Source organism: Homo sapiens, chromosome 17, assembly GCF_000001405.40.
Source record: "Homo sapiens chromosome 17, GRCh38.p14 Primary Assembly".
Taxonomy (NCBI): Eukaryota; Metazoa; Chordata; class Mammalia; order Primates; family Hominidae; genus Homo; species Homo sapiens.
This window is the reverse complement of record NC_000017.11, coordinates 69,018,334-69,033,322: the sequence shown is the minus strand read 5'-3', so window position 1 is coordinate 69,033,322 and position 14,989 is coordinate 69,018,334. Positions and strand designations below refer to the sequence as shown.

The 14,989-nt window shown below is 35.4% G+C and overlaps 1 protein-coding gene across 11 annotated transcripts in view; it reads left to right on the top strand.

The window, feature by feature from the left end:
- The window catches only part of ABCA9 (ATP binding cassette subfamily A member 9), a 104,490-nt gene that overhangs the window by 45,655 nt on the left and 43,846 nt on the right, over positions 1-14,989 (top strand). For all 11 annotated transcript variants that reach the window (XR_007065256.1, XM_017024011.2, NM_080283.4 and 8 more), the window contains 11 exons: positions 1,047-1,215; positions 4,096-4,154; positions 4,678-4,788; positions 5,508-5,683; positions 5,874-5,993; positions 6,209-6,347; positions 6,856-6,946; positions 8,970-9,109; positions 11,462-11,581; positions 12,737-12,935; positions 14,744-14,910. Coding sequence is in view for 10 of the 11 variants with exons in the window: in XM_017024011.2 (XP_016879500.1) it covers positions 1,047-1,215; positions 4,096-4,154; positions 4,678-4,788; positions 5,508-5,683; positions 5,874-5,993; positions 6,209-6,347; positions 6,856-6,946; positions 8,970-9,109; positions 11,462-11,581; positions 12,737-12,935; positions 14,744-14,910 (1,491 nt within the window). In the remaining variant the exon portion in view is untranslated. The remainder of the gene's footprint in view (positions 1-1,046; positions 1,216-4,095; positions 4,155-4,677; positions 4,789-5,507; positions 5,684-5,873; positions 5,994-6,208; positions 6,348-6,855; positions 6,947-8,969; positions 9,110-11,461; positions 11,582-12,736; positions 12,936-14,743; positions 14,911-14,989) is intronic.

Below are 14,989 nucleotides of genomic sequence, written 5' to 3'. Positions count from 1 at the left end.
TTTTTTTTTTTTTTTTTTTGAGAAGTCTCGCTCTGTCACCCATGCTGGAGTGCAGTGGCGCGATCTCTGCTCACTGCAACCTCTGCCTCCCGGGTTCAAGTGATTCTCGTGCCTCAGCCTGCTGAGTAGCTGGGACTACAGACATGCCCCACCATGCCTGGCTAATTTTTGTGTTTTCAGTGGAGACGAGGTTTCACCATGTTGACCAGGCTGTCTTGAACTCCTGACCTCAGGTGATCTGCCCCTTTGGCCTCCCAAACTGCTGGAATTACAGGCATGAGCTACCATGCCGCCCTTATGTACAATCTTTCCTATAGAGAAACAAAATCTTCATCTGTGCATCTCTGGGGTCTGTCTGTCAATTCCTCGTATATACTAGGTAAGTGCTAAGGAAGAGGCAGAAAGGGAAATTGGGAAATGAAGGGAAGGAAGAGACCTTCTGAATAGTTTATTCATCACGTTTCTGGGAGTACTGATACAGAATAATGACTCGCTGATTATTTTAAAACTTCCCAAGTAAGAAATTTTGGAATGTATCATTAGTGTTATGACATTTACTATTATTCTTGGTGTATTGACCTTATCTAATCCAAATGGAGGAAATCACAAGCAGGAGAATTGCTTGAACCCGGGAAGCAGAGGTTGTAGTGAGCCGGGATCATGCTACTGGACTGCAGCCTGGGTGACAGAGTGAGACTCCATCTTAAAAAATAAAAAATAAAAAGGACACATAAGTACAGCTAGATAGAAAATTGTTCTTAATTAGATTTAAATTCCTCCTGAGACATCTCTCTGCATTTTGAGGAGCTTTTTAGTTAGTTAACAATGCTACATGCTTCTCATGTTAAAAACGTCATATTAGCCATCTCTGTTATTTTCTCCTCACTGTTCTGTGTGTGTCAAAAGCACATTAAAACAGTAATTAATACAGACCTTAATATGATAATGTGGGTTCAGGTTTAATGTCAAAGGGGCTGCACTGATATGCTGATGGAATCCTTGAAGCGATGACTGACCCAGTATTCAATTGCCTCCTGCTCACATAGCTGAATATGGACATCGATGTTCTCCCTTGTTTTTCCTGAAATCCTGTTTTTGGTTTCAACACGGAAGGGCTAATCATGTGGTCCTTGAGAATGAAACAGATTCTGATCCTACACCTAATGACTGTTTTGAACCAGTGTCTCCAGAATTCTGTGGGAAAGAAGCCATCAGGTAACCAATAAATTACTTGGAGGCACCAATGGAGAACAGGCAGAGACTGGGGATCTGTCAGGTGACACACTAGGAGCAAAGATCGCCTTCTGTGCCCTCTGTACCCACCTACAGCCAGCCTGCTGCACTCATCAAAGGCTATACTCATCCTTCATAGCACTCTATTTTCTCACATTCTCAGCACTTACATTTACTAATATTTCATGGTATAGTAACAACCGTCCACAAGTAAATAATTTTTGAATTTCCATTTTCCACATTATCTTTCTTATTTCTCCTCTTTGTGTTTTTCTCCCCTGAGTTGTTCTCTTTGTGACAAACACTGCCATCGTCTCCCTTGCTATTATTCTCAACCCCCTTTTTTATTAATTCAATTTGTCCCTCTCATCTTCCCTTCCTGGCTTATAATTAGATGAGGAGAAAGAGGCAAGCGATGCAGGCATGGGAAGAGGACACTCCAGAGAGATGGGAAGGAAACATCAGAAGTCAGGACTGTTAGTTTCATGCCTATCTTCCCTCTTAGATGATGGACATGCTTTATTCAATTCTGGTTGCTTTGATTTCCAAACAGCTAGAAATCTCTAATACCCCAGATCTTTGCTCAAATTTTGTTCATCATTCAATGTTGTATTCATCTCACTCCTCAGTAATACCTTTCTGATATATCTCTTTCAGTAATATTTTAACTCAGGACATTTATGATACAGTCTCTGAACATAGGTCCAATATGAACATACAACAAAGAGCAGCATTTGCTCATTCCTTATGAGCATGTAAACATAGCAATCTTTTCAAGAATCATGACATCTTTCTAAGCTGGAACTCTAAGTTTTATGTTCTTTCCAGTGCCTATAACAGAATTAGGTCCTATCAGAGAGATCATAGGAAGCCTTGAATGATGAAATAAGGGGTTTTAATTTATCCATTGGGCAAGGAGGAGGGTATTGAAGATTTGCAAATTGTGGGTAATAAGACTAGTCTTATGGTCTAGAAAAATTATCCCTAGCAACGGGTGGAGATTGGAAGCAGGGTCTCACATAGCTGACTGTTAGGAAAGTGTAGGAGATTTTATCTGTGGCATGGCTACTCAAGACTGCCAGTCCTGCGTCATTACTGTGGCTGGTGCGGCACCCAACAGACCAGTGCACAGAGTTCTGAAGACTGCACCATTCTATCCCAGAGGTGAAGCCAGCTGGACTCATAATCACCTCTCAGTATAGAAGGCAGAAAAGTGAAATGTCAATTAAAAGGTATTATTATACCAACCACAGTATAGATTCTAATCTAATAATCTACAATCTAAACATGAAAGTTAAATGCTATCAAAACATATGGAAAAAATTTATCATTTCTATTGCTTAGATGAAATGAAGGAATAAAGCAAGCTGATACCTATTATTGTTTTAAAAAGAAAAGATAGGGAAAAAGAGACTAGGAAAAACCAACTTGCCCAAGGCTACGAAGTTTAAAAAGAGAAACAGTATTTGAATCCATACGTGCTCAACTTGAAAGTCATTGCATCTGAATGCCCAGTCTCTTCAGTTACTTCTGTATTTAACTGGATTGTACCTCTTCGATAAATTGAATTATATCCCCTCAAAATTTATATGTTGAAACCCTAACCCTTAAAATGATGGTATTTGAAGATAAAGTCTTAGGAAGTAATTAGGGTTAGATGAGATCATGAGGGTGGGGCCTTCCTGCTGGAACTAGTGTATTTATAAGAAGAGGCACAAGAGAGCTTGCACTTTTTCCCTCTCTCTGCCATGTGATGACACAGCAAGAAGGCAGCTCTTTGCAAGCCAGGAAGAGAGCCCTCATCAGAAGCCAAATCTATTGACACCTTGATCTTGGAATTCCCATCCTTCAGAACTATAAGAAATAAATGTCTGTTCTTTAAGCCACCTAGTCTATGGTATTTTGTTATAGCAGCCCAAGCAGGCGAATACAACCTACCTGCTGGTTTGTTGTGATAATGTAAGTAAAAATGTAGACAAAATGCTTTGGATCTGGCTTATAGTAAGTAGTCCTTGAACTCACTTAAAATCTTTTTTCTTCTTTTTAACTTCTATTTTAAGTTCAGGGGTACATGTGGAGGTTCATTACATAGGTAAAGTTGTGTCATGGGGGTTTGTTCTACAGATTATTTTATCACCTAGGTATTAAGTCTAGTACCCATTAGTTATTTTTCCTGATAAAATATTTTTCTTTGCCCTCTTTTAAGAATCTTTCTTTGTTTTAAATCATTTTCCTGGTCTTTTTCCTCCTCTCTCATCTTCTTTGGAAGTTTACTAGGTTCCAAGTATTTTGTGTTCTGCGTATATTATCTTATTTACTCTACATTCCAACTCTGTGTGATAATTAATGTCATCCCCATATCACTGCTGAATAACTGAACTCAATGAGTCTTGAGTACACAGCATTTGTAACAGAGCTGGTGTGTAGCACAACTGGGACTTCACCAGTTGTGAATCATTTAATGATTAGATTCCAAAGCCCTACTGTTTCTATTATGGTGTGTTTTTTCTCTTCTTTTTTCCACCATAGTATCTCCTCACCACTGATTTTATCTTCAGCTTTCCTCATATCCAGTCATTTGCCACAATTCTTCTAACAATATATTTCCGTGTGCTAAGCTGTGCCCTCCATATTTTAGCCTGTTCATTTTGGAAAGATCAGGGATTCTGCTTCTAATTAGTTGCCCTGGGTGCTTCTGCCAGTGCCTGTGTGAAAGAAAATAATCCCCAGATTTTCTTTGAGGCTTTACAAGAAAAGAATCCCAGATTTTCTTTGAGGCTTTGATTAAGCCTCAAAGACTTGACTTATCAATCCTCTGCACATTTTTACAATTCTCTGAAAACATTTCCCTCTTTTTTTCAGAATCAAAAATCTTAAAAAAGAATATGCAGGGAAGTGTGAGAGAGTAGAAGCTTTGAAAGGTAATAAAATAATATTTTATTTAATGGGGCTGCTTGATTTAGTGGCTGCCTTACTGTTGTAATTTCTTGGTAGGGATTAAGCACAGATATTCCAGATATGTCTCTCCTTTATTTGAACACATTATGTTTCCTTCAATGTAAAAAAAAAACCCATAAAACAATTTTTAAAAGTATCATTAAAATGTATCATTAAAAATCGTGTGGGTTTGAAAGATATATGATAGTATTATGAAATTCTTTGTTTCAGCTCATCTTATTCTCCAGCTCTAAAATTGTATTATTGTTAGCCTCTATTTATTGACAAAACTGCTTTTATCAAAAAAATTAATTGCATAATAACATATTGACAATACTATCACTACAAAATGTTGAAATACAGTTTTAAAAGAAAGAATTTTAAGATGAATTTTATTTTGAATATTGCTAGCTCAATCTATTCATGCTGCAAAAAATTACAACAGTTTCAGAGACTGTAAAGTTAATATGTAGGCTCTGAGTGTAATTTTTTTTAAAATCATGCCAGGTGTGGTGTTTGACATATATGAAGGCCAGATCACTGCCCTCCTTGGTCACAGTGGAGCTGGAAAAACTACCCTGTTAAACATACTTAGTGGGTTGTCAGTTCCAACATCAGGTAAGAAGACAGTTATCCAAGGACAAGTACCTGGACAAACACATTAATATGCATTTAATTATTTAACTGGGGCTGGGCACGGTGGCTCACACCTGTAATCCCAGCACTTTGGGAAGCCGAGGCAGGTGGATCATGAGGTCAAGAGATGGAGACCATCCTGGCCAACATGGTGAAACCCCGTCTCTACTAAAAATATAAAAATTAGCCAGGCATGGTGGCAGGTGCCTGTAGGCCCAGCCACTCAGGAGACTGAGGCAGGAGAATCACTTGAACCTGGGAGGCGGAGGTTGCAGTGAGCCTAGATCGTGCCACAGCACTCCAGCCTGGCGACAGAGTGAGACTCCATCTCCAAAAAAAAATTATGTAATTGGTTTTATTAATTAACTTCAATAGTTTCATTACTCATTATATAAGAGAAAAATTTTAGAAGTTTTTCTTATTCTTTTATTGAATTGTATTATACCTATTTAGAAAAATGTTGTTCGTGTTTTAAATATGTCATAAATAGTTTTATGGTTATTAAGTTACTAAGTAGCATTCCAGCTAGATCAGATGTTATTGTGAACATTACATTTTTAATCAGTTCATTGCATATTCCTTACAAGTAAACAATGTTGAAATGAATCTAATAATTGACATACAGTGTTTTCCATTTTAAAAGATCTTCAATGAAGCATGACACATTTTCCTGATGGTCACTCTCTGCCTTCTGCTTTCAGGTTCAGTCACTGTCTATAATCACACACTTTCAAGAATGGCTGATATAGAAAATATCAGCAAGTTCACTGGATTTTGTCCACAATCCAATGTGCAATTTGGATTTCTCACTGTGAAAGAAAACCTCAGGCTGTTTGCTAAAATAAAAGGGATTTTGCCACATGAAGTGGAGAAAGAGGTATGTGAGCATATTAGATGTCACATAGCCATAAAAAAGAGACGGTTTATCTAGAAAATATTGTGCTAAGTTATACATAATTCCTCATCTAAATTTCAGGCAAAAAGGCCCTTTGTAAAGAACAGAAAAATGATAGTGTTTTTAAAATAAACTTTCTGGGTTTTGGACTAAATATTCTTTATTTGATTAGGTACAACGAGTTGTACAGGAATTAGAAATGGAAAATATTCAAGACATCCTTGCTCAAAACTTAAGTGGTGGACAAAATAGGAAACTAACTTTTGGGATTGCCATTTTAGGAGATCCTCAAGTAAGTCAAACAAAAATTACTGGTGAAATCAGATTGAAGACTATAAAATTATTTTATTAGGTCAAACAATTTTCAAATGATAAATGTAAGAGAACTTTTAGGATGAAATATTAAGTACTAACAAGTTTCTCCCAAATACTTTTAAAAGTACAGTGCTTTTTAAAAGGATCTTATCCGAAAGGGTGGAATTACTTTAGGACTTTCCTCCTGTCCAGGTTTTGCTATTGGATGAACCGACTGCTGGATTGGATCCTCTTTCAAGGCACCGAATATGGAATCTCCTGAAAGAGGGGAAATCAGACAGAGTAATTCTCTTCAGCACCCAGTTTATAGATGAGGCTGACATTCTGGCGGGTAATTTTTTGTTTCTCTTATGTATCTTCATGAGAGGTTAGAGACAGTGTGGAATATGAACAGGTATGCTCCACAGCTGTGTCTCCCTGGAACTGCCATGGCCCAAGACAGGAGAATTTTGCTCTTACTCATTTGTGGGTCTGCATGCCAGAGTACTTGGCCCCATGGAAATATTCTGAGCCCATTGCAGAGCAGCTTTCTGGTTGTAAAATACATATCACACTTTCTAAGATACAATTTGTTTTAGGCAGTCTTGATGTCAGTGTAACTGAAACAGATCCTTTAAATGTATAATTTTTCTCAATACGCTAAAGAATAAGTTGACATAATTTATCACTCATTCGAGCTGTTGGATGACAAAAAAAAGTGGTTTACGTATGGCCAGAATTAGAGTATATCTATTTTAGTGTGTCATGCTGCTACAATACATTGTTAATAGATTTGTGTTTTGTGAATAGTAAAGAAATAAGTCCTTCATGTAACTTATCTTTTGATTATTTCTAACTAGACAGGAAGGTGTTCATATCCAATGGGAAGCTGAAGTGTGCAGGCTCTTCTCTGTTCCTTAAGAAGAAATGGGGCATAGGCTACCATTTAAGGTACAGCCCTGAATGTTGGAGACGTGTTGACAGATGCTGAAAATGCTGGAGGCAGGTGGTATCAGCATCAATGTGTAAAAGTAGGCCCTATAACCACTAAGTTCATTTCAAGGGAGCTATGGTAGAACTAAGGCATAATTGCTTTTTTAGCTAGAATGCAGGATATATGAGATTATAGACATTGAGCATGCAAGGATGATTAATCTAGGCTTAAATAAAATTTTTGAAAAATATTTTCACAACGTGTTGCTTGCTAAGAGTAATTTGTTGATATTCCGACCCTTTCTCTTCTCATATTTTAGATGTTTTATTTTTGTTCATCTTGACAATTTCAATACCCTGTATTCTCCCTGACTTCATTTCTTTCCACCATCCTTTTGTGGTTTTTTTCTCTTACTGATAATAATTATTATCATTACTGAGTAATGTCTACTACTTTTTAAGTATTGGCTATGTTTTAGGTACTTACTAAGATATTTACATATAGAATATTCATATTATTGTATTCAATCCTCTAAATAACTTTAAGAAGATACTATTGTTATTCCCCTTTGACAAGTGAAAATACCACTTCAGATAGTTTTAACAATCTGCCAATCTCCACGACTTGTAAATGATAGTCTTTGTTTCAAAATTACAGGTGTGATATGAATGGCTTCCTATATTTTGCATTGCAATGTAGATATTTTTTAAAAAATGATTCAAATCACTTCATCCTGATGGATAAATGGATCCCCTCATTTTTTACTCAAAGTGGCTAATCTGATCAAATCTACCAATCTATCATTACTACTTGTTACAAATCTACCAATCTATCATTACTACTTGTTACAATCTAGTAGAATCAATACCCTCTATTGAATACTCACTATTCTCTAGCTATGTTTCATAGTTCAGTTGTCTTGTTTCTGCTTGAGAGAGGATATCTGTCAAACATGTTCTTCTTCAACCCATTTAACCATGTCCAAGTCTTAACCATTTCTGAAAGTATTTTCTCCTTAATGAGTATCCTCTTTTCTGGAACGCTGAAAGCACTATTTTGAACTGTTGCCTTAGGCAACTTAATTAACTTCTTTGATCCTCAGTAACTTCATTTATGTAATAGCAGTAATAATACCTACTTTGCAGTTAAGGCTAAGAAATATTGAGTGAATGAATACTTGACAAGCTGCAAAGTGCTCAACTGAGTTAACTCAACTTCCTTCTCCCTCACATCTTCTGTCATATGCTGCTTTATATTATTTTTATGTTGGAAGCTTCTTTAGAGAAGGTACTGCATTCTTCCTATTTGGTATTCTTGATAGCACTTGTAAGTACTATACCTTGTAAGTACAGAATAGCCTTTTTTTCAAACTGATTTTTTAGGTTTGTATCATCAGTCAATTGTGATCTTCTCACCACTCTGTCACCTCAGCACCTTTCAATGTATGTGATTAACAGTGGAGTTTCAAAAATCAAATAATTTCATGAGTAATTTTATATATTCTTAATAAAGACAGGCCAGATTTCACTTGAATAAATTTTGGGCCCCAAAATGATAAAATTAGCTTTAGCAGAATCTGCATTAGCATGACATGGGGCCACATTCTTAATGACTGTATCACATCACCTCCATTTTTTGTTTTCTCATGCTCAAGTCTGAGTTTCGGCAGAACTCATACATTACTACAAAGGGAAAGCTCAAGGTTGGGAGGTTGGGTTTTTGAGTAGATGCTGACAAATTAAACATTTCCCTTTACCTCACCCCAGGCAAGATCTGGCTTAATATCTCATTTCTCCAAATAAGAGTCCTTGAGTTACCTCTTCCCACTCTAATCATCCCTTATACTAATTCTTCTGCCATGTTGCATAGATTTAATGGTTTGGACTTTATTAGTAGTTTTACATCTTACTTTGTCCAGTAAACTACACATTTTTTTGTCTCATAAATATTAATAAAGTGACAAGCACATACTACATAATTAGGAAATTGTTTTATAGACACAGTTGGATAAAAATAACTTTTATTCTTTTTAAATGTTAGTTTGCATCTGAATGAAAGGTGTGATCCAGAGAGTATAACATCACTGGTTAAGCAGCACATCTCTGATGCCAAATTGACAGCACAAAGTGAAGAAAAACTTGTATATATTTTGCCTTTGGAAAGGACAAACAAATTTCCAGGTAACAAAATGTAAAGATGACAGAATGGTTTTGGAATGGTGTTATTAACAATAACAGTGGTGATAAGAATGATGGCTAGTTTTAATGCTTGCTAGATGAATGGCACAATGCGTTTACTCATTTAATATTCCCAACTCCAAGGTCACTTATAATATTACCCCTTAGTATTATCCATATGCTACTTATGAGTAAACCAAGGCATGTAGATGTTAAATATGCTTCAAGTCAATTAAGTGCAATTAAGAGGCGTAGGCTAGCAGCAAGATAAAATAAGAATTATTTGGAAAATTTGTTTCAGTAATGAATGAGAGAGTGTGGTCAGGGCAGGAACAGGTATATAAATACAGTGGCAGACTATCGAAGAAGAGCTGAAAGAATTGTACACAATAAATAGGTTGTTTTAGAAACACCAGCACATACTGATATAATCCAAGTTATTGAACATAACTTGGATTGGCGTGCATTCTGCCAAACACTTCAATGTACAACTTTGCTGCAAACACAGAAGCTTGGAGAACTACTGGTGTTATTACTTTTCTATGGTATCTCCCAATGCACTGTTTCACTTCCTAAGCGTTTTGAGGTAGAATGCTTCTTAAGTTTACTCTGTAAAAATGTGTTTGCCATATCAAGTTCAAGAAATTATACCGGGGCCATTGCTGCATGCTTGAATCAATAAGCATGACATAACCTTGGTCCATAAAGAAACACAGAACCAGACAATAAAGTGCAGAGATTGAAACTCAATGCTAGAGCCAGTCTAGATTCAAACACCAGCTATGCTATTATTAGCTCTATAATCCTTAACAGGTTATAGTACTATTCTGTATCTCAGTTTCCTCACTTGTGAAAAGAAAATTAAAATAGTACTCTAGGGTTGTTATGAGGATTAAATGATTTAATACCTTCAAATGTATTGAAATATTAAATATAAATAAAGCACTGGAACAATACCTGACATGCAGAACCTATGGTATTTCATCAGGTGTAAGAAGCCCTCAACTACAGGATGTACCACTAAGAAAGAAACACAAAGAAATAATGCTACCATTTAAAATATGATCTACTATCATTTAAGATCCATTATTATTTCAGATATATTAAAAGATGATGAAATATATCTCTTAGAATAAGTGAAATAATGGTTCACAGTGCATACACAATATCTTTGAGATATGTATCCTTATAAAAACAGAAATCTTTGTGAAGATCACACAGCAAAGTTTTAGCTGATTGCTTATTAAATGCATTCCAAAGTGGATGAGAAATTTGGAGAAAGACTGAAAAACAATTAACCCTTAGGTAAGTTTAAGGACTCATTAGAAATTTTGACTACATCTCTATTTTTCTTTGTCCAACACATAATTAAGATTGAAGTCTTTAATTTATCCCAATATTGAATTAGTTTATCTTTTATCCACCTTTCAGTTTTCCTGAATTTTCACACCATGGTCAGAAGTTGAAAGAGAGAGGGAGAGAGAGACAGAGAGAGGAGGTGCAAAGTTACATACATATTTTGTCCTTTTAAAAACTTTACATATTTATGGGCTGGGCGCGGTGGCCCATGCCTGTAATCCCAGCCCTTTGGGAGGCTGAGGCAGGCGGATCACTTGAGGTCAGGAGTTCAAGACAAGCTTGGCCAACATGGTGAAACTCCATCTCTACTAAACGCGCGCACACACACACACACACATACACACACACACACACACACACACAAAATTAGCCAGGCGTGGTGTTGTGCACCTGTAATCCCAGCTACTCGGGAGGCTGAAGCAGGAGGATCACTTGAATCTGGGAGGTGCAGGTTGCAGTGAACCAAAATTGAGCCACTGCATTCCAGCCTGGACAACAAAGCAAGACTCTGTCTCAAAAAAAAAAAAATAGAAATTTTACATGTTTTTAAACTATCAAAGAGTCTATACTTAATTATTTCTATAAACATTAGTTCTTTTACATTTGTTATTATAATTCTCTAATAATTAATCTCAACAAGAAAGCACAAATCTCTATTCTCTGGAAAATATTTTTTTAATTAGTTGAAATTGAGAATTAAACACTCCCTGTAATATAACAAAAATAAATTTTAAAAAATATATTAAAATATGTTTTTCAAAAAACACATAGGTAGTTTCCTAAGAGTGAAAAAATAAATGTTTAGATTAGACTTTGATCTCAAAAAGACATGAAAAGTAACATACTATATGGATCATTTTAGAAATGAGATCATCTGTATCACAATTTTGTTTCTGATTAGTACATTTGGCCTATTACCAATATTTTACATTTTTGAGAAATATGGTTCTCATTATAAATTATATTCTTATAATCTGTTTTTGTATCCACTTTTAGAACTTTACAGGGATCTTGATAGATGTTCTAACCAAGGCATTGAGGATTATGGTGTTTCCATAACAACTTTGAATGAGGTGTTTCTGAAATTAGAAGGAAAATCAACTATTGATGAATCAGGTAAGAAAAAATAAGAAAGAGAAAGAAAGGGAGAAAGAAAGAAAGGAAGGAAGGAAGGAAGGACGAAAGAAAGATTTTATCTTTGTGTGCAGTATTTTATCTTGAAAATATGCCCAAATGATGAGATTATATACTTTTGTTGGTGCTATGATTCAGGCTTGTCTTGGGAAAACTTAGAGAAGAAATATATCTCTGTGGAATATAGCAATGTACAACACTAGTTCCTTATGCAGCAAACAATAAATATATGGTATGATATTACCTGAATATACATGCTATAGAGAAAAGAAAATTAGAGTTCACAGAAATGCTACTTTTCTGGTAGCATTTCAGTGATATTATTCCAATGTATCTGGGATTTAGTTGTTGCTTTTGGAAAGTTTGCTCTCTGTCTCATCTTTATTCCTTGGGAAGCATTCTGTCTTTTCTCTCTTATTGCTGCTAAGATAATTTTTTTTACTGGTTCACTATCATCTTATGGTGTTTACTCTTTACTGTGCTCTTTATTTTCATTTTTGCAATTTTCTGGGGGTCTTTTTGGATTGATCAAGCATTTTTCTTTAATCCTCCTTTTCCTCTCTTATTCATTTTTGAAGTTATATACTTGTTACTTTTTTAGTGTTATACTAAATTTTAATGTATGTACATATTTTATAGCTTTCTAGTAGCCAGAGTTAGTCATTTTCTCTAGGCTTCACCTCAAAACAGGTAACTTTTATCTTGCTTTTAACCATGGTTATATTTTAAAAATATCGTTTCTCCCATTTTTATGTTCTTGAAGGGTAGAGGAGGGGTTTCTGTATATACTAACTCTCCTACCTTGGTCAGAAATACTAAGTGGTTTATCTTTTACAACAAATAGATTTCTTAATGAGTTTTTTTTCATTGATTTCCTTAGAATAAATAAAGTCCTATAAAGCTGCAGACAGAGGACGTTTAAAATCAGAAAACACAAGATTTTCTTTTATTATATCAATACTTTCTGCTTCTTTCCCATTTCTTCAATAGTTGCTCTAATAATGTCATACATTAGATTACTTGTATCTTGGCCCAAGAGGGTAACTTTGACACCTTTGTAGGAAAATTTATCATAGGAAAAGCTAAATAATGCATAACTAAAATGGCACTTTATAAAATATTGATCTTATGTTTTAGATATTGGAATTTGGGGACAATTACAAACTGATGGGGCAAAAGATATAGGAAGCCTTGTTGAGCTGGAACAAGTTTTGTCTTCCTTCCACGAAACAAGGAAAACAATCAGTGGCGTGGCGCTCTGGAGGCAGCAGGTCTGTGCAATAGCAAAAGTTCGCTTCCTAAAGTTAAAGAAAGAAAGAAAAAGCCTGTGGACTATGTGAGTATCTGAGTGTTTCAGATTTGTTTTGTCTGTGAACTAAAAATAAATTTAAGAGAGCAAAACATAAAAGAAACTCAGATAAAATAAATTTCAGTAAATGCACATTGTCTTTTAAACAAAGAAATCATTTTTTAATTAAAGAAACCATTTTTAATCATGTGGATATATAATTAAAACAGATACGGGTTGGGATTGTTCTTTTTTTAAATTTCACACAGATTTTGTTTTTACCAATGGGTTGAAGTAGTTCTTCAAAAGCACGTGGATATTAGTACTTAGGTCCCATCCTAAAGACCCATTTCCTCTTTTCCCAAGGTATCAAAATCTGTAGCTGTCAGGGTTCCCCAGGGAAATGAAACCAATAGGATATACATATATAAACATACTTACTTTAAGGAATTTCATTATGTAATTGTGGGGCTTGGCAAATCTGAAATCCACAAGGCAGAACACCAGGCTGGAAACTTGGGTTAGAGTTAATGCTGTAGTTGGAAGACTGGAAACTTGGGTTAGAGTTAATGTTGTAGTTGGAAGACTGGAAACTTAGGCACAATTTCCATGTTACAGTCTTGAGGCTCTATAAAAGAGTCTGCCTTGGCTTCACGATCATATCTGGAACCCACTATAAGGTTCACATGTACCCCCAGAGCTTCAGCCTTATCATCAGGAACACTCATTCACTGAGAACATTCATTCATCCAAAAATATTAGTGAGCACCTCTATGCAACACTCTATTATTAAGTGATTATAACATATATCAAAAGAAATCAGACATGACAGTCCACCCTTGAGGGTGATTAGACATATAGTAAATAACAGACAATCCTGTGAACTATGGCATTTAGTAGGAGGGAGATTATGTCAAAATAGAAAGCTCAGGGAGATTTTGAAGAAGAGAGAGGAGAATGGAAATTCAGGCTGAGGGAGTAGTACTGAATATGGGGATACATGAGAAATCTAAAGAACTATTAATCTGAGTTAATTGCAACATAAAGTGTATGAAAAAGTAAAAATATTTTTGAAATATATTCAAAGAGCTAAGGAGTTTGCATTTTATGAATACTAAGGAAGTATTAAGACTGTATTTTTTATTTTCAATAGGTAATTGACATAATGTCAACAAAATGTTAAGAAGCTTAATTGGGTAATTGTGCAAAATTGTTTGGTAATGGTAGAATATGGAGACAATGAAAACAAACATTTAGAACAATATTGAAGAGTCAGGAAGGAGTTAATAAAAGCCCAACTTAAGAAGAGGAAGAGAGAACAAGGTTTGGAGGCAAGCAATAAAGATGCTATGATAGATATGAATTTCCAAATATTAGAAAATAAACTTAAGGGAGAGAAATGGGTGGAAAATGATTGAGCTCTTGGTGCCCAGGGGAATGAGAAAATGCTGTAATTTACAGAAATTGGAAACAGGATGGGATAAAGTTCAGAGTGTAGTAAGTATGGGTGTTAGTGATATGCCAATTTCAGTAGTGCAGAAAAAGAAAGAAATGCATGACTGAAATAAGGCAATGAGTTAGGGATTGTGAAGAGAGATTTAAGAGTCATAATCCACAGACTTCATAAACCCGAAGCCAAGGTGTCCTGCTTGGCACTTGAGAGAGAGCAAAAGACTAAAGGTAGATACATATGACCCATCTCATTTTAGAAACAAGGAAGTGGGGCAAAGTATGATTCAAATGTTTGGTTATTGATTATAATTTATTTCTGTTATTATATTCATTATACCTTCAAACTTAAAAACCCACAAAAGTTGCTAAAATTATTTTTTTCTTTTACATTTTCCTCTGCATAGATTATTGCTTTTTGGTATTAGCTTTATCCCTCAACTTTTGGAACATCTATTCTACGAGTCATATCAGAAAAGTTACCCGTGGGAACTGTCTCCAAATACATACTTCCTCTCACCAGGACAACAACCACAGGATCCTCTGACCCATTTACTGGTCATCAATAAGACAGGTGAACATGGGGCTGAAATGCAGCTGTTAAATGTTGTTCTTGTTGAGAGATTCCCCCCAAAAAACATGAACAGCCAAGA